The 26,228-nt window shown below is 35.0% G+C and overlaps 1 long non-coding RNA gene across 1 annotated transcript in view, besides 3 other annotated features; it reads left to right on the plus strand.

The window, feature by feature from the left end:
- The window catches only part of LOC105375158 (uncharacterized), a 130,320-nt gene extending 113,658 nt beyond the window's left edge, over positions 1–16,662 (plus strand). Inside the window, exon 3 of the long non-coding RNA XR_927044.3 lies at positions 16,047–16,662. This is a non-coding gene — a long non-coding RNA (uncharacterized LOC105375158). The remainder of the gene's footprint in view (positions 1–16,046) is intronic.
- Positions 12,366–12,465: an enhancer, noted in NCBI's record as "active region_25666". NCBI's record gives its function as "activates an Ori minimal core promoter by ATAC-STARR-seq in GM12878 lymphoblastoid cells {active_cell/tissue: GM12878}" and the evidence as "EXISTENCE:reporter gene assay evidence [ECO:0000049][PMID:35858748]".
- Positions 12,596–12,655: an enhancer, noted in NCBI's record as "active region_25667". NCBI's record gives its function as "activates an Ori minimal core promoter by ATAC-STARR-seq in GM12878 lymphoblastoid cells {active_cell/tissue: GM12878}" and the evidence as "EXISTENCE:reporter gene assay evidence [ECO:0000049][PMID:35858748]".
- Positions 17,536–17,736: a silencer, noted in NCBI's record as "peak6392 fragment used in MPRA reporter construct". NCBI's record gives its function as "represses an SCP1 promoter by STARR-seq MPRAs in K562 erythroleukemia cells {active_cell/tissue: K562}" and the evidence as "EXISTENCE:reporter gene assay evidence [ECO:0000049][PMID:32103011]".

Below are 26,228 nucleotides of genomic sequence, written 5' to 3' on the forward strand. Positions count from 1 at the left end.
AATATAAATATCCACAAAATAAATTCATTTTCTTTATTTAATAATTAAAAAGCAACTCAAAGAGAGGAAAGGCAGAATAACAACAAAGTCATTCATGTTTACCCTCATGTGATTGTTGAATTACTGTATACTCTTTATTTCAGCTGACATTAAAAAATTGCATTTTATGGAAACTCATGAAAGTTTATGTGCATAAGGGAAATTAAGAAAATAAGAATGATTTGTGATTAAATAATGGCTTAGATTTATTTCAGATTAGATCATTCAGATGTCAGTAACGGTATTTAAGTACACTATATGCAATGGTGTGAAAATACGTAAGGTAAAAAGTTTCCGATTAATGCAAAATTTATTCAGACTACATAGGAGGAAGCATGACAGGAAAGAGAATATACGCCATGGAGAAAAATGATGCAGGGAGGGAAGAGAGAGGGTGACCAAGACTGGACGAAATTAAAGTTCGTGAGGCAGGAGCATGTTTACTCTTTTAGAGGAATTGCAAGGAGGCCAGTGAAGCTAAAACAGAGTAATAGGCAAGAATGAAACATGTCGATTAAGTCAGTGAATGGCTGGATTATGCAGGACCTTATTGACCATTATAAGGATGTTTGCTTTATTCTGAGACACAGAAAAATCACTGAAAAAATTTGAGGAGAAAAAATGATCTCATAATCATAGAAGTGATGATACGTGTAAACACTACAAAGAGACTGCTTTTCTGCAGGCATTAAGGCCAGGGAGAGAAACCCAGGAAGAAGTGAGCATTAGTTGTAACTCTGTGTAAGTGACTTTGTTTTCTTCTTTGGTATGTTTAAAACCTTTCATGAAGTGCACTTTTTTCCCTGTTGCTAAATCACAGAGTTGGGCTCTGCTACCCTGAGACTATGTTTAAACTTGATTATAAGACACTGGTAGATAATGACGGCTGTAATAACATCCTATCACCATTAAACATAAAAGCTGATGATAATTACCAGCCCATCTTGACATATGTTATATCATTTTCTGAAAAACGTGTTTTTGTTGCTTGCTGCTTCAGGAAAGTAAACATATTAGACTTTGGACGTCATCACCAGGGTGTTATTTTTGGATAGTTTTAAATATGTTATGCTCTATGATTGGTAAAGAAACTGCATTATATTCTATGTGTAAATAAGTATAATCTAGAAAATACTTTTTAGAAATGGCTAAACTTGACCGTGTCAATTTCTGTCTTGTTTCTAGCATGTGAAACATCTAAACCACCAGTAGTGATCTAACATATAAAATAAGACATTGAGCCTAATGATTTTTTGTTACAATTTCAAATGTGTCATTTTCATTGCTATATCACATTGTACAGTGAACAATAGTGGTAGAATTTCAGATGTTTATGAATACATGTAAAAGATGGCTCATGGAAATCAGAATGAAAATAGGTTATGATGCAGGACTCTTGTAGGCTCAGAGACAAACAAAACACCTCCAAACTCAAAAAAAATCCACACATTTTTGACCACTCGCAAGTAAATTTTCTTTGCCAAGACACATAGGGAAGAATGAGTAAACAGAAGATGAGGAATTATTTCAAATAGTAAGCTCTTAGGTTCTTAGTCATTGGATGCATGAAAAGCAATTAGAACTCTTAGATATACAGAACCCAGGCTATAAATGTAAAATATTCCTCCTATCTTGATCCTTTACCCATGTCAGATATCATGAAAATACCAACATTATTTTCTTCATAGTTAGAAATAGCCTCAAAACCTTTCTTACAGATTACAGTGACGTAGGATTGAAACTTTTTGTTATCCTTGAGCTAGGGCTCTATTTCTCAACACCGACACTATAGACAATGTGAACCAGATAATTCTTTGTTTTACACGGCTGTGCTGTGCATTGTGGGGTATTTAACAGCATCTCTGGCCACCACCCACTAGAGGCCAGTAGCAACTACTCTGTTTATCCCTACCCCCAAGTCGTGACAAAGAAAATGTCCCCAGACAATATTGCCATTGTTTGACAACCACTTCCCTAAAGATAGATATACCTAGTAAATAAAGGACTTTAAGATAAAGCATAGAAGAAAATTCTTAAACTTAGCTTGCTATGGTATTAGAAATGCCATCATCACCTTCTCTGTGGCTATTCTTCCCTCTAGCATGTTCAGCATGGTAACTTCTGGCTCTCACCCTGGTTTTTAAAATTTCATGTCCAGGCATCATCTGTCTCACAGCTTTTGCCTAGGAGATCCTGATGAGGTACTGAAAAGATATTTGGATATTAAAAACAATTGTCACTTTAACGTCAGTCTCAGGCTGATGTTATTTACTTATTTAATGAGTGAGTTTCTGCATTGGGTGATGGTATATAATTTTATATAGATCCTCATGTATGTTTATTTGTTTATACATATACACATATAAAATCTATCTGTATGAATAGACCTATATAAATAAATAGTTTTTTTTTTTGTTGACTGACTTGATTCTTAATTTAACTCTCGTATGTAGTTTTTAATTGTGATGTTTTGTGAAAGAAAAATTCAATGGATGGTAACAGTATTTGTCTTAGAATATGCTGAAAGCCAAATGAAAGGGAGAGAGTGAAGTCTCTGTAAGTAATATTGCATTTTGTTTTGCCATTTCCCTCTGTTTAGGAGCATCTATTGCTTTTAGAAAGCTAATGTTTAGTAAAGGAACCCTAAGAACAGGAATTAGGTAGAATGATTATTTATTCTCTTTTTAATAGCCACATGGTTTTCCCACACATACAGCTTCTTACACCGTCAATGGGAGTTCTATGCCAAGGACAGAGTGACAACAATTGGAAGGAAAATTGAAATTTACTTTTGTTGTTTAGATTATTTTGGTAACCATGGTAATGGAAGACCAATATAGCACTTTAACACTCAAAAACAAATTTAGGATAAGTTTTATTTATTGAGATAAATATTATGTTACATTGGGAATACTGGTATTTTGTGGCTGAACATTTTGGGCTTTAACAGATGGACAATTTATTTTTTCACCTTTCTCCTTCCAAAACTATAGGCAGCAGCATCAAGAAAAGGTAAAAGACTTTTAGATAATGCATTTAGTAAAAAAATAAAATAAAAATAAAAAAAAGTATTACAGAGAGATAGCAAAAATATATTGATAACACAAGTATATAGAATTCAATCAAATTTGTTTCTGAACTTCCTGGTAATTAGAGTATAAACACATAAAGTTATTTAATTTAAAATTGTGAGGATCATTATGGAGAATAATACTGTGAAAATAACTTTGACTGATGATTATCTGATTTTTTTAAAGTTACTTTTCTCTCATCAAAAGCCATGCTATAAGGATAAGCTTATTGATATCTACTGTTGTCCTGGAATAGTATTAAAATTGGACATACAAAGATATTTTTTATTTTACTTAATTGTACATTAGTGTCACCAAAATATTTGATAAAAGTGTTTTGCCAACATATTTTTTAAACACTTAACATTAAGGAATTCTATGTTTTATTTACATGGAGCACTCAATTCAGAGATTCTTTTCACAAGGAAATTTTGGCTCCAGATCTTCTATTCTTTCTTTGTTTCTTTCTTTCTTTTTTTTTTTTTTTTTGAGACACGGTCTTGCTTTGTCACCCACTGGAGTGCAGTGGCATAATCTTGGCTCACTGCAACCTCTGCCTCCCCGGTTCAAGCAATCCTTGCGCCTCAGCTTCCCAAGTAGCTGGAATTACAGGCACGCGCCACCACGCCTGGCTAATTTTTGTATTTTTAGTAGAGACGGGGTTTCACCATGCTGACCAGGCTGGTCTTGAACTCCTGACTTTAAGTGATCCGCCCACCTAGGTCTCCCAAAGTGATGGGTTTATAGGTGTGAGCCACCCCGCCTAGCCAGAGTCTTCTATTCTTTAAATAAGGCTGCCTTCTGGTAACTTGTCTGGGCCTAAAAGCCAAGAGTTTACACATTGTATAATTATACTATACAATGCCTGGCTTTCAAAATCTTTAGATTCAAGTCAATATACATTAAAAAAAAAAAAAACCCTTAAATTGTTTTTAAATTACTTTTCTCAATGACTATTTCAATTTACTCTCAGGAAAACCCTGTGAGACAACATAGATATTTTCTTCTTTTTTTAAAATAAAAAAATACTGAGGTATACAAAATGAAATATGATATAGTAGCATAAATGAAGCTAAATCTCAGGGGTTCTAGCTTTCAGTCCTTTTTCTGTATGTGACTGAGCGTTTGCTCTCTCTCAACACACACACACAGACACACATATTCTTGTATGATACACATACATATATGTTTTTATTTAGACAAAAATTTAGGGACTATCTTTTTTACTTCCTTTTCTATTTTAACTTTGGTTTAATGGGTTGATATTACACTGAAGTTTTCTTAAAAACATGTTTAGAGCTGCCAGTTTCTTTTTGTAAAGAAACTGATAGAACAATTTGATGTGTGATCTGTGTTTAATATTTAGGGCTCAAGGATCAGAAAGAAGAGTGTTATCCTAACATATATAGTTATGCTGACCCTATGTCCTAGTTTGCTTGGAATAGTATGAATTTATGCCTGTAGTCCTGAGATAATTATTAATAGCATTTCTTCAACTTTCAAAAGTGTCTCAGTTTGAGGACAATGTATGGTTATTTTACAGCCCTTCTCAAAGTCTCTGGAGAAAAAGGAGCGTTGAAAATAAGTATAAATATAAATTTAATCGATTCAAAAGTGAAACAGATGACTAAACTGTTCTTTAGGGCCTAGAGGTCAACTAGAGAACATAGCCTGGAATGGAACTGCTGAAAAGCAACAGTTATTCCAACGTATTGTGCTATTGTAAATGAAAAATAAAAGCTGAAAACAATGTCAGTCTTTATGTGGAGGCAGAAATGCCATAATACCTTCTCTGTGGCTATTCTTCCTTCTAGCTTGTTCAGCATGGTAACTTCTGGCTGCCATCCTGGACAAAAACAAGCAATATAATTATAAACACTCTTTCACTTTTTAGTTTAGTTCAGTTCCTAGAACTAGTAATGCTTTAAAGGGGTGAGGTGCCACTTTTAGTCTAGGAAATACAATGTTGCAAATACTAATTTTTAAAAAAATAAATGAGGAAGAAAATAACATCACAAACGCTACTCAAAAATCTTTTATACCATGCAACAGTTTTGGTAGTCATAATGACATCATGTGATTGACATTATAATAACTTAAATTCAATCACATACAAAAACTCTACATAAGGCCTCCCAATTTTATGTTATTGTCACAATTTATATCTATTAATATTGTGTATCTTTTAACATCTTTTTAGTTACAACTACTTTTAATACATGTGTCCTTTTTCATACTAGAGTTAAAAGTGATTACAGGCCAGTCAGTATTCCAGTTAACAATACTTCAGTTTTCCCCAAATGTTAACATTGTACCTAGCTTCAATACAGTTATCTAAACCAGGAAAATGGTTTTCTGACTGTATTAGTCGCCTAGGGCTGCTTTAATAGGTCTTGCAAAAGTACACATATACTTGTCTTATGACTCAGCAATTCCACCGTTAGTATTTACCCCAAAATGATAAGCAATTCTGCAAATATGCTTCAGTTTACATATTTAGACAAAAACTAAGTAAAATTATATGAACTCATGTCAACTCACATAGATAAAGCAGCTTATTAAGTGTATTAGATTCCTGGCAGTAGAACACTTCAGATTTTAGAGATGACATATTGCACAGTATAATAATTTAAGAAAGTCAATATGGAGTCTCACTGATCTATTTGATCCTTCTTTTACCCTACCATATTCTTTCTTTGTTTAATATTTTAAACTATAATTTTAATTTTCGTCGCAAAATATTTCAAATATATAAAAAAGTACAGAGAAGAATATGACACATTTCCATTTTATCTAGATTTAATGAGTAATATTATTTTGGCTTACTTGCTTATTTTGCTATTACTTTTTAAAGACATTAAATGTTTTAGAGGGACCCAAGACATCAGGCCCTCTCCCATTCCTCTGTTTTCTGCCAGGTAACACACATCTTGAGATGGTAGCTATATTTTTTCCTGCATGTTTTCTGGAAAACATATTGCATTTTATTAAATATACTTCATTTTATTTAATATGTGTACCATGGTAATATATCTTATTGTCTATGTCTTTAATATTTACACGTGTTATTTGCATCTCTTTTAATCTGTTTTATTCATTCACTTTTTTCAAGAAGCATTTGTGTTGATATATGCAGATCTAGTCACTCATTGTTATTGTCATTTCTGAAATGGAATACTGCAGAGTATGATCTCATTATCTAAATACACTACTGTTTATTCATCTAGTCTCCTATTGATGGGCATTTTTTTTGTTTCAGCTTTTTTGTTTTTGCTGTTACAAACAAATCCTTGAAAAATATATTTGTACTTGTCTCCTTGAGTATTTCTGGTGTGTATAGGATTTATGCGTGGAAGTGGAATTATTTTCATTACAGACTTTCCTCAACTTATGATGGGGTTACATCCCAATAAACCCATTGTAAATTGAAAATATCATAAATTGAAAATGCATTTAATACATTTGATCATCATAGCTTAGCTTAGTCTCCCATAAACATGTTTGGAATACTTACATTAATGCACATTTGGGCAAAATTGTATCCAAAAAATGCTGGCAACATAGTACACTGTAGAGTATAGGTTGTTATCCTAGTAGAGATCATGTGAACAACTGGGAGCTGTAGCTCACTGCTATTGCCTAGAACCTCATGAGTGTATCAAACGACATACCTCTAGCCTGAGAAAATATCATAATTTGAAATTTGAAGTATGGTTTATACTGAATGTGCATCACTTTTTTACTGTTGTCAAATCAAAAAATCATTAGTCAAATCATCATAAGTCATAGACCATCTGTGTTACTCTTGAAACTCTACTACTTCAAGCTACAGCTTAGATAAGAACACATCATTCTTTAAAGTCTGAGGGACGAAAGTCAGAGTCTCATTGAGTCTTCTCCTTAGCAACACTGAGTACTATCAAAACTTCAAGTTTTGGCTGGGCGCAGTGGCTCACGCCTGTAATCCCAGCACTTTGGGAGGCCGAGGCGGGCAGATCGAGACCATCCTGGCTAACACGGTTTCACCCCGTCTCCACTAAAAATACAAAAAAATTAGCCGGGCATGGTGGCGGGCGCCTGTAGTCCCAGCTACTCGGGAGGCTGAGGCAGGAGAATGGCATGAACCCAGGAGGCGGAGCTTGCAGTGAGCCGAGATCGCGCCACAGAACTCCAGCCTGGGCGACAGAGCGAGACTCCGTCTCAAAAAAACAAAAAAACTTCCAAGTTTCTTGCTAATTAGATATGAAATGGTATCATATTTGCTTCAAATTGCATGTTCTTGAATACTAGTAAAGTGAATTATTTTATCATGTGTTTGTTGGTCTTTTGGATTTTCTCCTTTGTAAATTGCCAGTTTTTAATATTCTGCCCATTTAAGAAATAGGTTTTTATCTTTTTCTTATTGGTTTGTAGGGGTTCTTTATAGTTGAGATGGTAATTCTTTGCAGAATATTTGCATTGTAGACATCACCCATCAGTTGCTTGTGTTTAATTTTGTTTGTGGTGAATTTTGTCATGCTGAACATATAAATACTTATATAGCGAATTCAAAATCTTTTCAGTTCTTTGATTTTGTGCACATTTTATTTTTAAATTTAATGTTTTTTCATGTTCTGAGTTCTAATCCTTCTGAAACTTATTTCTTTAGGTAACATAGTATCTGATTTTTTTCTATATTGATAGACAATCTTTACTCTCTCTTCAGTTCACATTTGTCATTTCTTAATTTCATTTATATCTAGAATTTGATTTCAGTGCTTGCTGCTTTCTTCCAATGACCTGTGTATTCCGTTGTTTCAATACTATATTTTATACAAAGTTTCTATGAGATTGCAGGAAGAAGAGGGTAGTTATTAACTGCCATGTTTCTGAAGTTGAAATCCAGTCATTTGCATTTCTTAAACAAATGTTCTTATTATTTCTAATTGCAAAGCAAAGGAGATTTTAAAGGAAGGACCTAGAAATCAGCTGTGTTACGGGGAGAGGAGTATCTTGTTCTTGAAAATTATTTGCCCCTAGAATGTCATTTGATAATGTATTTTGAGTAGAAGAATCATATGCCACTGATGTTGGTATAACTGTTCTTGTCTTTAGGTAAATCCTTTTAGGTAAATTCTATGTTTCTCCACTCAGCAGCCGTGTACAGTCATTAGGTTTACAGGGATACCCCTGTGTTTTTCACAGAAACCATTTCAATATAGTCTTGTGTTTTCTGTGTCTCATTTATGTGTGTCTATGCATGTATTCTTTTCCTGTTTCTCTTACATAAAACTATCTTGAATATGAATAAAAAGCCCCAAGATTTTTCACACCCTTGATTTTTTTCCTTAAAAAAATGGCAAACTCATGGATGACAAACTCTAACTGCTCCTACAAAACTTAGATTGTTACCTGGTGAATGAAAAAATAAGTGCTGGCCCTTTTCTAAGTGTTCTTTGTTTTTGTGATTATTTTTTGAGACGGAGTCTTGTTCTGTTGCCCAGGCTGAAGTGCAGTGGTGCAATCTCGGCTCACTGCAACTTCCGCCTCCCGGGTTCAAGTGATTCTCTGGCCTCAGCCCCTGAGTAGCTGGGACTACAGGTGCATGCCACCACACCTGGCTAATTTTTGTATTTTTAGTAGAGATAGGGTTTCTCCATGTCAGCCAGGCTGGTCTTGAACTCCTGACCTCAGGTGATCACCTGCCTCAGTCTCCCAAAGTGCTGGGATAACTGGCATGAGCCACTGTGCCCAGCCACACTAAGTGTTCTTGAAGTTGAATCACCACCTAACTACCATGAAAACCTGGGGCTTGAAGAGAAATTTATTAGAATTTAACAAAATAATGTGCATATGAAAAATCTCCATCTTAGGGACATCTTTAATTTTGTCCTTTATGGTCACTTAGATCTCATTTACATGTGTAACAGTTAGATGCATTAGAGCCTGTAATAAAACTTTAAGCCAGTGTTTTTGTCTGTTATTCTTTATTTCTTTCTTTATTTTTACTATTTGTTTCTAATGAGAAAATGTGTTAAAGAAGTTAAAATGCACCATCCTGGTATTCGCAAGTGATATTATCACTAAGTTATCTATGATTTGTGATCTGGGTGTTGCTTCTGTTGTAGTTGTTGTTTAAAGGTAAGAGAAGCTACAAAACTTATCTTGATTTTAAGGAAAATTTACCCACCTGCCCACTACACTATTCAAATCTTTCAATTTTAAATAATAGAAAACAAAAAAAGGAACAGGAGTAAAGTGTTCCTGGTTCCGTTACCTCCTTCTTTCCCAAATGCTCACATTGTACATAGCTTCAGTACAGTTATCCAAACCAGGATAATAGTTTCCTGACTGTAATAGTTGCCTAAAGCTGCCTTACTAGGTCTTGCAAAAATCCACATATAATTATCTTAGGACTCAGCAATTCTACCTTTAGTATTTACCCCAAAATAATAAAAACTTATAAGTACACAGATGCTTAATAATGGATGTTCACAGAAGTCATATTCATAATAGCTGAAACCTGGAAATAACCCAAAAGTACCTCAATAGGTGACCTTGAAAAATTGTGGTATATTCATCAGTGGAATTGTATTCAAAATAAATAGGAGTAAACTACTGATATTTACAACAGAGAGGAAGCATGAAGTATGATGTGTGAATGGAATTCATTTTTCAGTGTGATCCTCCGATAATGTCTTCCTTATGTTGCCAGATATTCTCATGATAGGAAAACTGGTACACTTTAAAGGATACTGACATTATAGAGGTAGAATTGCATTTTTTCACGTTATTCTTCTCTAGTGTTTATATATAACTCCTACTTTCAGAGCAAGGCCAATATTAAATATAGTGTTGCTCTACGTTCATTACCATGACACAGTACCCTACATCTGTGTTTAACTACCTTTTCTCCTTTTGAGAGTAGCAATTTGGGTAGTTGCACTGCCAGCCAAATGGCTATTACCTCCGCCTACTTTGAAAAAAAAAAAGCAAACAAACAGGAAAAACAGACTATAAGAAAAACAGACTATAAATAGAAGTATGTATCAATGTTATAAAAAGTGCAATGGAGCTGGCATTCTCTAGGGTTGTGAACAAATGCTTGATTTATATAAAAATACGATCCTCTAGATAGTTTCCAACTTATTATGCAAAACTCCAATTAGTTGTTCTTTTCCTTCTTCGGTGTTGCTTCAGGTTTCTGCTTCCTATTCTATCTCGTTTATGCCTGCTGCTTCCTGAGGCTATTCCTTTTCCACCTTCCTGATCCATAATCATGATCTCAGGTATCATCATCGTCTGCTACACTCTTACCCCAAGTCAGCTATGAAAGAGCTGGATTACCATTGTGTAGAAAAACATATTAACAAATACTTGTGAATGTTAAGCCATATCTAGTTTTCTCTACCTATGATAGGGGCTATTAAATTTCCATAGAGCCCTGTTCTGATCCCTAGAACCAAGCCTAATTTTAGGCGGGAGAGAACCAGTAGGCTGGAACTTACAAACTCACTGTGTGCTAATCTGCTAGCAAGCAGTATGACTGTTGTTTTTAGTGTTGCTGCTGGAACCTTATTGATGCTACTAAATAAAATCTTAGCCTCCTGATGCAGCTAATCAGCAAAAATTCTAAAGCCAACAGTCACTTGCAGTTGTTACTAGACCCACATTTGCCCACAGTAGTCCACAGCCATCTGTTATTGCTGTTGCTTGTGCTGCAAGGCTATGAAAAGCAGAACAAAAATCTTGCTTCTGTCTGTCTTCCTACTTCCTGTCAGAGCGACCACTTGTAGAAACTAACCAAGAGTTTCCCAGCAAATGGGAAATGTAGTGTGTACCTTTCTAGCCTCCTGAGTTACACAGGAAGCATAGGATAGAAATAAAGCTGAGAATCAAGAGGCAGCTAACCCATACAGTACATAACTGTGTCAGTCCAACAATTTCCTATATTTAGGTTCATTTTGATAGGAGTGTTTTTTCGTTTTCATTTTTCCTTACACAACATAGATCCTGGATATTATTTAGAAGATAGGCTGTTTATTGAGATGCTGTTGAGTAGGCAAAATACTAAACTCCGTAGGTCTAATCAATATAATAATCTGATACTAAATGCAATAAATAATCCCAGATACCTAACCTTGAGTGGGAAGGCTGAAACTGGCTTTTGCAATATATATGTATATTAATTTGGTCGTCCAAGGGATTTTCAGTTAGTCTGTATTTTCAGTTCTCTTTGTAAACTGGAATTATCTAGAATAATAATTTGAAACAAAACATTGAAAGCACCCATCAAATCTGCTGATGTCTAGGCTAATGTGTGAAGAATAATGTGTGTGTGTTTGTGTGTATATTAAAGAGAGAGAGAGAGACCAACAAGAAAAGCAAAGGACCTATAATTGATAATATATTCAAACTCTAATCGAGATAATAAATAAAAGAAGTTTATATTACAGCTAAGATACAGTTTAGCTAGAATATCAGGTCATTGTTTCTTTCATGTTAATTTTGGGAAGCTGTCAGTGAGAAGTAGTGATCAAACCCTGCTCAATAATCAGGTAATCCCAGTGCAACAGTAGCAGAGAATGTGGTCAAGCAGTTTCATCTTGTTTCTATAACCAAATCTCTGCTTTACTGGGATTGAGATTGTTAGAATCTGCTAGCAGGCTATTTTCAGTCTTTTCCAAATTATTCTTTCTTCTGAGGGAAAAAAAGCCTATTTTATAAAATCCTTAATGTCATAACCATTGTGGTCATATAAGCGTTGCTTCAACTATTTTATCAGTTTCCTCCAAAATGATACCTAAGATTTTAATGCATCCTTTATTATTCATAAAGACTTGAACCTGTTAGGTTATTTGCTTGTCAGTTTAGTAAACATAAATATAATGTGGAAATTAGACATCAAAATTTGCACTGGCCTTAGCAGTCATGAAATCTTTCCCAGTTAAACCTGAACAGGGCTTGATTAAACGAAAGTGAGGTTCGTTAGAACCAAGAAGGACAATTATCATTAGCTTCCAAGAAACTAACTTGGTTATTGTCTTCATTTCCAGGGAGTTTCCTGGTCTGGTTTTTGGACAGGATTTGATCTTCCGCTTATAGATAAAAGTTTGTTAGTCACTGAAAAGGAAGAACTGACGAGCGTGGAAAGATGGACAGGCTTATGAGATGTGAAAAGGGCAGGAGTTTGTGCAGAGGCAAACTGCTTCCAGTCCAAGAAAACAACAAAAGTCATATTTTGTCTCACTTCCTTTTTCTTCATCCCCTTGCTTCTTGTAGTATGACATTATTGGTTAAAAACACAGAAATCCAACGACCTAAATTTACATATTCTATAATGGTTTGTAAACTTAGAAAGTGAATTCTTCTCTCCGTGCATGAGAACTTTATAAAATGCAGACATCATAGCACCTACCTCATAGATTTTTTTATGAAAGTTAAGGCAAAATGTAAGCATTCTATAAATATCAACTCATTTCCTTTTTTGTCCTTTCTCTTTCACTTTGCTCAGCTGTTACTGTTTCCCTATCAATTTGTGCTCCCTGGTTTTACTCATTGCAGTTTTCTTCTTTTTCTTTCTCTGTTGTTCCTCCTCCTTCTTTCTGCTTCTCCTCATGTGGGTCTTCTAGTCAACAGTTTCCACTTTTCTATTTCCCTCTCCTTCTGCTTCTCTTCATGTCTTTGTCTCTGACCTTCTTGCTTCTCTTTAATTCTCATCTTTCTTTCTCCCCCCATGTGCTCTCTGTTCTCCACTCGCACAATAACTTGTCTCATTCGCCATGGCGGTACTTACTTTATCTTTAAAAGAACTTGGCAGTGTTATTTGTCTATCTTGTTTATTATCTCATTAATTTGCCTTCGTAAAACAAATGATGTGGGCCAGCTGTGGTGGCTCACGCCTGTAATCCCAGCACTTTGGGAGGCCGAGGGGGGCAGATCACGCGGTAAGGAGTTTGAGACCAGCCTGGCCAATATGGTGAAACCCAGTCTCTACTAAAAATACAAAAATTAGCTGGGTGTGGTGGCGCGTGCCTGTAGTCCCAGCTACTTGGGAGGCTGAGGCGCAAGAATTGCTTGAACCCAGGAGGCAGAGGTTACAGTGAGCCAAGATTGCGCCACTGCACTCCAACCTGGGCGACAGAGCGAGACTCCACCTCAAAACAAACAAACAAACAAAAAAACAGATGATTTGTTTCCTTGCCTGGTGATAAGGAAAAACAGAAAATTCAATATAGATATTGTAAGTGTGCAGTCTAATGATTATACAGAGCTAATCATTTAAGGATATGTTTCTTCTGAGCCTAGAACAGCCTCACAGGGCATTGATCACTTACGTCAGTGCCTGGGATCACCATTACCTACTTACCAAGAAAAAATTGGCTCCATCAAACCGTAGTTTCTGCTTTTTCCCAGAATGACTTTCCTGTTTATCTACATAATGAGAAGATTGAGGCCACAAACCTTAAACTACACCTCATTTAGTTCTGTTTATTTCTACTTTCATATCTTTCTTCCATTATCTTTTTCTTTCCTTTCATTTTAGAGAAAGTTTTCTTCACCCTTATTTCCAAGCTTTGTCTTGCCATATTTTTATATTCTTCTCATCCATTACTTTCTTGTCAGTCTTTCCTTTTCTTTTCATAATCCTCAAAAATCTCCCGTCTAGGATTCTTCCTTCAATTTTGAAATATACCAGCCTCTTAAAAGGTCACTTGGTTTTATTGTCTTTATCAATCATCAAGTTATCCTTTCATGAATAGTTATTCATACATGAATGGCCTCTACATGCTACTTCCACCTCCTCTCAGCATATTCTAACACTGCAATTTTATTTCTTCCATTTGTCCAGTGAATCACCAAGTCCAGTGATATTTTCTTAGGCCAGATCCTCCTGGACTTTCTACAATTTGATAATTTTTTTCTAGATTTCACTTCTTAAGAGAATATATTCAAGAAGTAAGAGGCACACAAAATGGAAGCTAAAATTGTTCTGCATTATGTAATTGTTTTTAGTTTGTAATATGGAAATAGGTAAAAGTCCTCTTCCCTTCATCTTTCAGACTAACCTCCTAGAAATAATCTTCTAGCATATTAATGTTAATTCCAATAACTATAGCAATTTAGTTTCTTTAGTTTCTAGTAATTCAGTTTTTTTAAAAAGCTGGAATAAACATCTTTTAAAATCTTTATTTGAGTCTTTATATTTATCATGTGTACAAATATATATGCTATTTTAAGTGTAATATATAATTTATAATATATAATATACATATTATATTACATATAATATGTAATTTATTTTTTAACTCTCCCCTTTTGCTGATTATATTTTCAAGCTTATCTTTTATTTCTTCAGATATATAAATCATACCTATAATCTATGTCTAACAATTTATGTCTAAATTGTGAGAGTCTGTATCATTGGCTTTTTGTTTTAGTTGTTTTTTTCTTATGGTGCTTAGTTTCCTGCTGTGTTTGTAAATTTTCAAGACTCTGAGTTCTCATTTTCCTTGAGAACTTATGTGTGAAGATTCTTTAAGACTTGATTTATAGATAGTTTCTCCAGAAAAGAAATTGTGTCAGAGACTGGGGAAAACTATCAAATAAAGGCCACGTTATTTCAATATTTTTGACATTGAAAAATGTTTATGGAAATATAAGTTACCTGTAGAAAAGTGTGTTAAGTCAAAAATTGACCTTATGAATTATTAAAAGCTAAAGACACTAATCATTCAAGTAAAATAATGGGACTTTGTCAGGAACCTCCCGGTGCCCATTTCTTCACTTCTTCCCAAAAGTAACTATCACCTTAATATCCAGTCTGCCTGTGTGTGAACTTTTCTCTACAACTTTTTAGTTTTTTTTAATGTTTCAACCTAGAGAAAAGTTGAAATAATAGTAACTTGAATACCCAGTGTTTGTTTCTTAGATCACTGATGTGTCAGCATTTTGCAGGTCCAGGGCTTTACCTTCTGTAAGTTACCAAAATCCACTTGGCAGGGTCTAGCAGAAACTTTAAGGGTGAAAGAGTATTTGACACTAGGTTACATCTCAGCGTTCTGGGTTGTACTTCATTTTGAAGCTCTGTGTTTTTCATACTTTGATGTCAGTTCAGTGTTGCATTTAGAATGACTTTTTAAATATATATTTTATACTGCATTATTGTTTCATTGGAGGGTTGTGCAGAATATCTAATCTACCATATTGTTGAAGCAGAAGTTTGCTAGATTTTAGATGTAATTATATAGACATTGGTTTAGAGAATTAGGAGAAAAACATATGAGTGGAAATCATAATGGATGTCAATACTTCTGAAATTTAAAAGGACGAGCCACTGAGTTCTTATTTATTATAAAGAGTGCCGACAGACTAGGCTGGGGAGAATAAATAACCTTATATGTATGGTGAGCCTATCTAATGTGTTGTCTAAGTGAGACCATTTTGAAAGTGAAGCGACACTGGTGATAATTACTCTGATGGGAAAAAAAAGGCGTAACTTGTTCTTGTCTGGGGCAAACTGAGATATGCAGTTGCCCTAAGTATAGGTTACTATACTTTTTAAGAAATGACTTTGAAAGTAAAAATAAAACCAGATATGTGTGTGTGAGCCTCTTCTTAATGTCAAAGTCTTTATTGAAGGCATATGCTAAGTGTGCAGATGCCAGCATTCGCAGAGCTTCATGATAACACTCGTGTAAGTACAGTGGGATTAAAAGTCTTGTTTTCGCCTGAAGACAATTTAGAAAAAAAAAATCTGTATGTCTTATGAAAAAAGATTAAAAGATAGAAGTAGTTTCTCCATTAAAGGCATTCAAATATAGACTTGAACAACTACTCTAAGGATTGTTTTGGTGGAAATTGAAATATTAGTCATGTTCTTGAATTACCTGAAAGGTCACTTTCAACTTGGAGGTTTTGTAATTCTGTTTACTCTCTATGCATTCTTATGTTTAGGCAAAAGAGCCATATCCATTTTCAGAAATGTCGAAGATTATGAAAGAGAAATACATGGAAAATTATCAAGAAACACTTATTAACGATGTAGAAGCTTGTCATTCTTTCATTGTTTCAGAATGTCAGAAAATCATATTTATTCTGGCTTATACTGTTAATTGATATGAAAGGTAATTAACAATTTCTCTGTGGTTTACTTAGAGTAGTAGGAAAAATATCAAATATTGGTCTTTGCCACCTTCCCTATGTGTCCTTGTTCTTGGTATGGAATCCTTTAATTATTTAGTAGAGAGATTGTCACAATTATAAGCACAGAAGTATCTTTGATTTTACATTGCAGCTGTTCCAGCTACGTTATGAGGGGCTCAGCTCAAGGGGCTCCAGGTCCCATTATCTGGGCAATGGAAAAGTCCATTCTTATTCAGCCACGGTGTACTTAGGATCCTTAAGAGAAGCTGTGATGTGTTTAAGGTCAAAAAGCCTTGTTTCATCATCCTAACCAGCAGTTTTACCATAATACAACCTTGAGAGGCTTATTTTGAAGGTCTTTCAGCACTTTATGAAAACCTCTTAAAAAATCTCTTTGTTATATTTTAAGTGTTATTATCTTTTTATTTTTTGGCCACTCATGTTACCAAAGTTTAGAATGTAACTTTTTAAAGCTCCATTACTTTGGCTAAAAGAAGAGAGAAGTTTAATTAAGAAACTTAATCATCTTCAATTATGGCATAATATATAATTTCTTGATTTATTTTTAAAAGAAACAGCAATTTTTTTCTCTCTTCCTGTATAGCATATCCTTAAAGAAAAATTTCTGTTGGCAAGATTGCCAATGTTTTGGAAAAATAAAATAAGGAAGGATGGAAGTACCTGACGGCATATCGTTTTTATAAAGTTTTGGATTATGGAATTTTCCTGGTAAGAATCTCTTCTCCCTCACACCTGCCCACACACGTAATTGGATGACACTTAAATGCATCAGCTTCTAGAGATTGCTAATAGCAAAAGTTAAATAGCAAAAAATTAAACATATCTCTGTCCCTTCCTGCTTATGAAGAATCAACCACCCTGTCTTCTACTTTCAATACTTTATTATTTTCTATTATAAAATGAATAAGCACAATGCAGATAATTCAATGAATAAATATATATTCATTGAGAAAAAACACTGAATAGTTTTTGTTTTCTAAATCACTTCTTGAATCTACCAATTTTCTGAATGCTCTGTCAGTGGTTATTATTTGACCTTTTTCTTCCAAGCATCTAATAAACTATTCTTTGTATGTTGTGCCTTGTATTAGTGAGAATCTATTGCTTATATAGAACAGAAACACTCTCAGCAATCTCCAGAGTTAATGATTTATTATAAGGGTGCAAATGCTAAAGCGGTAATAAAGATGAGTCAGGCCTTGAGATCCAAAGAATAAGGCATTGTGAGAGAGCAGGAACCAAGGTATCAAAATGGGAAATTGAAGTTAGGTAGAGATGTTGGCATCAAGAGGTTGTAAATCTTTACTCTTAACACTCTGTTGTTAATGAGCTCCAGCTACCCTTCTCATCTCTGTTGCCCCAGACACCGTAGAGCGCGTAGCTCATTTTTCCTAAGAAGTGGATGCCTTATCTTCTGTCCCAAATAGCTTGCCTTGTAAGTTATAACTTATGCGTATTCATGACTTCAGTTGCTTCAGGACTCATCAAAGCTCTCGTCCGAAGGCCTTGCTCTGTGTATCTGAATAACTTCAGCTCCCACTGCTTATATCCTTCCACTTCAAAGTCAGTGCTGAAAGAGAGAATGCAATTGATCTGTCCTCTTATCACTGCACTTTACTGTAAGGTGGGCTAAACCACCTCAGAGGCTTCATACAGTCAACTCTCATTGTGGAGGATGGGAAAACAATTGTAAATTACACGATAGAGTTGCTTTAAACTTCTTTCTTTACAAAGTTCTGATGTGCAGCTGTTTCTCTTGGAAAAAGCTTGTTTCTGCAGTAACGTGATGATGATTCCAGCCTCTTCTCAACTTAGTTCATTTGGGCAACCCCCCCACCGCCCCTGTACACTTTGTTGAAACTACTCTTGCCAGGGTTATCAATGATCTCAATTTTGCCAGATAAAATTATCATGTTTTGGCTGGGCGCGGTCGCTCACACCTGTAATCCCAGCACTTTGGGAGGCCGAGGAGGGTGGATCACGAGGTCAGGAGTTCGAAACCATCCTGGCCAACGTGGTGAAACCCCATCTCTACTAAAATACGAAAAATTAGCTGGGTGTGGTGGCACTGCCTGTAATCCCAGCTACTCAGGAGGCTGAGGCAGGAGAATCGCTTGAATCTGGAAGGCGGAGGTTGCAGTGACCCGAGATCGTTTCATTGCACTCCAGCCTGGGCGATAGGGCAAGACTCCGTCTCAAAAAAACAAAACGAAACAAAACAAAAATTACCATGTTTCATCATTCTTCATCTTATTTGTTCTTTCTGTAACAGATTAATTGACCATTTTATTCTTGTTGAATTTTTTTCTCCTTTTCAGAACTCTGCACTACCTTGGTTTTCCTCCTATCTACTAAGTAGTTTAGCTCAGTCTCCCCTGCTAGATTCTCCTTCTCTGCTGACCCTGGAATTCTAGGACCCTAGGCTTAGTCTGAAATCTTCTGCTCTTCTCGACCTATATTCTTTCTTGAAAAAAGTCTTTTCCAATTCTCTAAACATCACCTATATTTAAAGACTTACAGATGTATATCTCTAGTTCTAAATCTTTCCTCAGTGACAAACTCCTACTTGACATAGTCACTTGAATTCCAGTAGGCTGGCTCACATTAAATATGATCAAAACTGTATTCTTGATACTATGACCAAACCTGTTCTTACTTGCTTCTCTATTCCTCCCAGATGCTCAAGCTCAAAAGAAGCAAAGAAAAAAAAGAACACTTAAACAGGCAAAAAAATTAAAAAATTATTCTCATCTCTCATATGAAATCAATCAACAAGTACTATCAGCTGTGTCTCCAAAATAATTGTCTTTCTTTCACCCTTCACTGCTGCCCCTTAGCCCAAACAACTATCATTATCCACCTTACTTTCTTCAATGGATTTTTTTAACGAATCACTCCTTTTTTTCCCCATAATCTATGCTCTGCAGCCAGAGTAATAATTTAAAATGTGATTAAAACCATGTCACTCCCTGAATAAAAATCCTCCAATGGCTTCCACCTCCACTTAGTGAGAAAAGGAAAGTACACAAACTCCAGCATATTCTAAAAGGCCTTACATTATTTGTCTTTTGCCTCTATCTCTTGCACCTCATATCTATCTTACCATACTTTTCCTTCCTTCACTTTCCTTTTCTGCTTTTCAGTTGTAGCAAGCTTATTCTTCCTCCAAAGACCCTTTAACTTTCAAATCTGTTAGATCACCCATCATGTCTTCAAACGCTTGGCTCTTTTTTCCATCCAGGTTCAGCTCGGGTGTTAATCTCCTGTGAGAATTTCTCAGCACATCCAAATAAAGTTACTTACCCTAGAACTATTACTTATTTTTGGTTTTATTGACTTCATATTATTTATTGTGTTTGTGTTAATTTATTGGTTTACTTATTTATTGTCTGTCTCTCCTACTGGAACGTAAGCTTCACAATAGAAAAAGGCTAATCCTTCATTATCATTTTATTCTTCATTTTCATTGTCTAGAGCACCACTTAGTATATGATAACAATTTAATGAGTATTAGTTGAATGAATAATGAATCATTTGCTGCATATTGAAAACACAATGAGCATTTGAGTATCAACTAATAGTTGATACATAACTATATTTGATTATCAACTATTTGAGTATAAACTGTGCTTTAGGTGCTAAACATATGTTATCATTAATTATTAATTATTCATCTATTCAATACATATTTATTAATTACCTAAATAAATGTCTACCAAGAGGAAAAACTATCATCTGTACTCATAGGTGACTTGTTCTCTAATGAATACACTAGTAGGCCAACAATCAAACATAATGATGCAATTGACATGATGGAATAAGTTAAAAACTGGCATAAACATAAATACATGATAGCATAGACTCATACATTTGTCTGCCTGTGGTCGGTAGCAGAGATACCAAATAGACATTTTTACTTCACATTGACAGCCATAGAAATTAGTAGGCAACCCATCTTGGAAAGGACATTCCTTTTAGGTAGAGAAGGCAACTGAAAGTGCTTTGGATGTATGACTGTAAAGTGCAGTTAGTGAATTATCAGTACATTTTGGAATATTAAAAGAGGAAACAGTGTAAGTAGATAATTCTGGAAGAGTAGGCAGAAACCAGCTTATAAAATGTTTGAGAATCTAATCTAAGGAGTTAAAATATTCCCAGGTAGGCATTTCTATAATTCAGTATTTCCCAAGCCTTTTTAAAAAACAATCCTGGCTGGGTGCGGTGGCTCACGCCTGTAATCCCAGCACTTGGGGAGGCCGAGGCAGGCAGATCACGTGGTCAGGAGATCAAGACCGTCCTGGCTAACACGGTGAAACCCCGTCTCTACTGAAAACACAAACAAAAAATTAGCCGGGCGTGGTGGCGGGTGCCTGTAGTCCCAATTACTCAGGAGGCTGAGGCAGGAGAATGGTGTGAACCCGGGAGGCAGAGTTTACAGTGAGCTGAGATCGCGCCACTGCACTCCAGCCTGGGCGACGGAGCGAGACTCTGTCTCAGAAAAAAAAAAAAAAAAAAAAAAAAAATCCTAACCATTGTTTTTTTTGAATCTGGAAAATTATCCTGAAATTATTTTTGTCATATAGCTTAAGAAAAAAAAAAGTGAGCAACAATTAGTTTATTTTGAAAAATTCCATGAAAGCTTTTGATATTTTGATGACAATATTGGTGAAATTAGCTCTTTAAATTTGTAAGAAACAGCTTTGAACCACAAACTACACAAGTTTCTACATGGTTAACATCCTAATTCTTTAATGTTTGGTAATATCTGTGCTGAGGAAATGCTGAGGCAGTGCTGGGGATTCCTTAAACACTATAGAGTATGATTAGTAATCTAATTTTTTGGGACAGCCAATTAATGCATTTTGGAATAATAAGTATCGTTTTGTTTATATTATTTATTAAAACAATCAGATATTTACTGAGTTTATGTTATTTACATAAACAGATGTTTCAGTAAATAATATATTTCTGAGGAAAAAATGAGGCACTTTGGCAGATGTCTTGACATTATGTTTAGTAACTTATTTAAAACTAGAAAACCATAGAATGTGAAGAGAAAATGAAATATTTATTAGAGCAGTGAAAGTTTTTTCCCATTTCCCATTTTTAAGGGAGCATCCCCTTTTGGGAAATTAAAGCAAAAGTGAAATTTTGTAAAAAGCAATTTTTTTTACACTTTTAGCAACATTTTAGAAAATGCTACAATAAATACATAATAAATATCTATGTAATAAATATACCATATATATCAAGTAGAATTCAAGATTAGGAATACCTACATTGATTCTCACTTATCGTTATCAGTGGCTTACATGTTTCAGCTGTTAGGATCATGGCAGGAATTTCCTCTTGAGGAAAATAATTTTTAAAAAATTGTGAAGGAAAAGGAAAAAAATATAATAGAGGATCAAGAGACAAATTTTAAAATTTGACTTAGGAATAGTTCTTGTTCTTGTTTGATCATCCTGAGAAGGACTTACTCTTATCAGTCTCCACAGGGCCACAAAAGTAAATGTTTCCTGTGCATTAAAAAACAAACTACCAAATTTGTTTATTCTTTGCTGAGCTCCAAAGTGACTGAGATAGGAGATGGCCCTGAGCTGGCCTGAAGAGCTCAAGAGGGCGGCACTGTGAGTGGCTAAGCAGACAGGAGACAACAGATGCCTGAAGCGGTGGGCTGAAGCCACAGAACTGCAGTGAGGGCAAAGACGGTGCTGCCTTTCCTGCTGTTTCTTAATGGAGAAAAGGGGGCAGATCACTTTATTTAATACAAAAGCTCCCGGCACTTTGTGAAGCCGAAGCAGGCAGATAACCTGAGGTCAGGGGTTTAAGACCAGCCTGGCCAACATGGTGAAACCCCGTCTCTATTAAAAATACAAAAATTAGCCAGCTGTGGTGGCAGGCGCCTGTAAGCCCAGCTACTCGGGAGGCTGAGGCAGGGAGAATTGCTTGAACCCAGGAGGCAGAGGTTGCAGTGAGCTGAAATGGCACCATTGCACTCCAGCCTGGGCAGTAGAGCGAGACTCCATCTCAAAAAAACAAAACAAAACAAAAGCTGCCCTCCTCATCTATAAACCCAGAAATGGGAAAGACCTTTTTTCTCACACTATCTTACTTTCGAAACCCAGTTAAAAAACAAAACATAAATGTAACGAACTCTCATCCTCATACTCCTGAACTTACCTGCAGCTGAGTTTTTACTCTATCATGCCGGGAGCAAAGATATTGGGTGGTAACGTAGGCTACAGAGAAGCTACATTTTGGAGGTCAGTGGACACTAAAGATTACATACCATCTGTCTATATATTTAGTGTATAAGTGCTGCTTAAAATTTCAGAGATTTAGTTTCTTCATATGAAAAATCTATATTTTCACGTATATTTGGGGTTTCGAAATAGTGACTATAACTGTCTAGGAGAGTACATAGCACATAAAAACTCTCAGTAAGTGATAGCTGTCTTTATTTCAGAGTCTATAAACTAACATTTCAGCTCATAGCCCAAATTACTCCAGCCCTATTTCTAAAAGCCAGGAAAATCTCTTCTGAAGACTTCTATATCAATATGTCATGAATTTTCAAGGCTCAAATGTGATATTGAAGGTGAACATGTTTAATAAATGGGAGAATGTCGTATCAGCAAATCTCAGATCGACTTTCATGCCATTCTGATGAAAGATGTTAATAGATGTTTCTCAAAGAAGGTTTTGTGATTAGATAAACCAAGACACACAGAATTTAGGATGTTTTAGACATTTTCATATACCACTGTAATTTCTAAATTTCCTAGTATAGGGTGGGTAGAACACATAACATTTCCCAAATTTTTTTGGTTGTGAAACTTTTGTTTTCATGAGGCTTCTCCATGATTACTCTCCACAGAAAAAGATTTTGAAGTGAAATAAGTTTACAGTTATTTTGTAAGTAAACTAAAAAACACAATTCTTTCCCAGTGAGTCTCAATCATGTTTCTCCTGCTAGAAGCACTTTAATCCATTAGATAGTGGAAATCAGACTTTAACATATTACTGGAAATACTTTAAGCAACATAATGCTGCAAATAGAGATTCTATTATTCATTTAAACGTTAGTTTAAAAGTAATGTGGAAATGCTATATATAATTATTAAGGCAGAGTAAAATGAATGGTTTTAAATAGGCTTGCAAAGTTATGATGGAATTAGATTGCACTGCATTGTTTCCTAGGTAAGAATGTGCTGTGCTGCAAACCACCATGGCACATGTTTACCTATGTAACAAACCTGCACATCCTGCCCATGTACCCCTGAACTTAAAATAAAAGTTGGGGAAAAAAGAATGTGCCTACTGATTACAGGGAAAGACAAAAAGCAAAAGGTGATTGAAACATAGTTCTAAATAACAAGAAGGGAAGTTTTCTTAAACTGATCATCTGTCTTATTGTCATGACAAAGGGTAAAATTTTATTTTCAGTCCTTTAGTGCTTTTTAATAATTCACCATACATATTTTACTTATATCCCATTAACTGTGGGACTTAGCACAGTTTACATTTTCAGTCATGTGAATATAATTATCTGTATTCCCTGTTGGAGTGATGGGGGAAATTGGATCATTATATAATTTAAAAGACACCTCCCCAGGCACCCATTGTGTTCTTAGGAAGTCAGGAACAGAATTTAAGATTATTAATTTCACACACCATGTTTTATCCATTAAATTAGTATATTGGATTTGACACTTTATAGATTGTATAGACACTTATATGTGACTCCAGAGAGCAACAGAAATGTTATTAAGAGTTCTTCAAATAATTTTGATAATCAAAATCACATATAATGGTAGTGCCAGGCTCTAGTGGACATTCTGATATGTTAGGCATGAAAATCAGTGAAGGAAAACAGCCTCAAGACGTAAAGAAATAGGGACATTGGTCATTTCAGGATTAGAGCCTACTGAATTTATACCGATCAGCAGAATAGCCCAGACAGATCTATTTTTTCACACAGTCTCTCTCAATAAATAGCCTTTCCTATCCTGAGATTGATATTTTGTTTTAATAATCCATTCTATCAGAATGGTTATGTTACTCTTTATAATAATCACTATATTGGCATGAAACCATAGCTTGGCAAAGGAGAAATTATGAAAATGGTAGTTAAGGGTATACATACTTGCATTAAATCCTAATTTTGTCAACATCACATACAGCCCTGAATCAAAACCAAGCCTCTAAAAATCTTCCCCAGTTGGTTTCCTTTGATGTCTGACTTATCATATAGTCATACAGCTGTAATGCTCTTCTCTTGGTAGCAAGGGTAGTTCATTACATATGTTTAGAAAGTTATTATTGTTGTTTTGAAGATGTAGAACATAAAGTTGGGACTGGGACAAAATCAAAGGAGAACAGATGTTTCAGAAGACATTGTTTATTTTTCTTAAGATTTTAACCTTACTAAGTGAGCTAACAGAACAAAGCCAGGATAGAAACAGGCTGTCTATGGGATTTAGTTGCAATGGAGCTCTGTTTTAGTTTCTGGCAACTGCCATAACAGGAGAACACAGTAACAGGCTAGGCCAGATGCCCTTCAGCATCCGAATCAATTCATCAAATTACAGCAGAGAAGCAAGAGTCAAAGCTGCCAGTTCAGGGAATAAATCTATGAATACCCTAAGACCAATGGCCATTTAATAAATGTAGAGACACAGAAGCTGCTCTCTCTTTCTCTGCATATATATGTGTACATATGTATATATGTATATACATATATACGTATATATGTATATACATATATACGTATATATGTATATACATATATAGGTATATATGTATATACATATATAGGTATATATGTATATATGTATATACATATATAGGTATGTATATACATATATAGGTATATATGTATATATGTATATGTGTACATATTTATATGTATGTATATGTGTATATATGTATGGGTATATATACATATATGTATATGTGTATATATACATATATGTATATGTGTATATATACATATATGTATATGTGTGTATATATACATATATGTATATGTGTATATATACATATATGTATATGTGTGTATATATACATATATGTATATGTGTGTATATATACATGTATGTATATGCGTGTACATATACATATATACCTATATAAGTATATATGTGTATATACCTGTATATGTATACATATATATGTATGTATTTCGTTTTTTGAGACAGAGTCTCACTTTGTCGCCAGGCTGGAATGCAGTGGTGTGATCTTGGTTCATTGCAACCTCTGCTTCATGGGTTCAAGCGATTCTCCTGCCTCAGCCTCCCGAGTAAGCTGGGACTACAGGCGCGTGCCACCATGCCTGGCTAATTTTTGTATTTTTAGTAGAGACAGGGTTTCGCCATGTTGGCCAGGCTGGTCTCGAACTCCTGACCTCAGGTGATCCACCCTCATCGGCCTTCCAAAGTGCTGGGATTACAGACTTGAGCCACTGTGCAAGGCCAGAAGCTGTTATGTTAAATCATTTTCATATCAATATGTGAAATATAAGTTAAGCAGGAATCTTTGAAAGAAAATTAATGTGGTAGAATGATTTCCCATAGATACTGCGTTGGAAGAACTCTCTATAATCCTGAATATCTGATAAATGTTAATTCTTCTCTAGGTACCAAGGTAATAACTTGCGAAAGTTACTTGGATTTCTATAGTTCTAGTTTATAAGCATTTAAAGAAAGTCTTTGAGGCCTGAATAAAACAAACAAAGAGAAGAATTTATGGGAAAGAAACAAACCAATATATGACTTTATTAAGTTAGCTTTATTGTGTAAGCTTGAGCATACTTTGATAAATATATAAATCTTGGGTTTATACCAACATATATCAATGCAGACATTTTGCTAATAAATATTGACTTGTTATAAATAAATTTTACTTCTGGAACTTTAGACATTTGCATCAAACACACAGGACAAACCCATATCCTCTTGCTTGCCTGAG

This window comes from Homo sapiens, chromosome 7, assembly GCF_000001405.40.
Source record: "Homo sapiens chromosome 7, GRCh38.p14 Primary Assembly".
Taxonomy (NCBI): domain Eukaryota; kingdom Metazoa; phylum Chordata; class Mammalia; order Primates; family Hominidae; genus Homo; species Homo sapiens.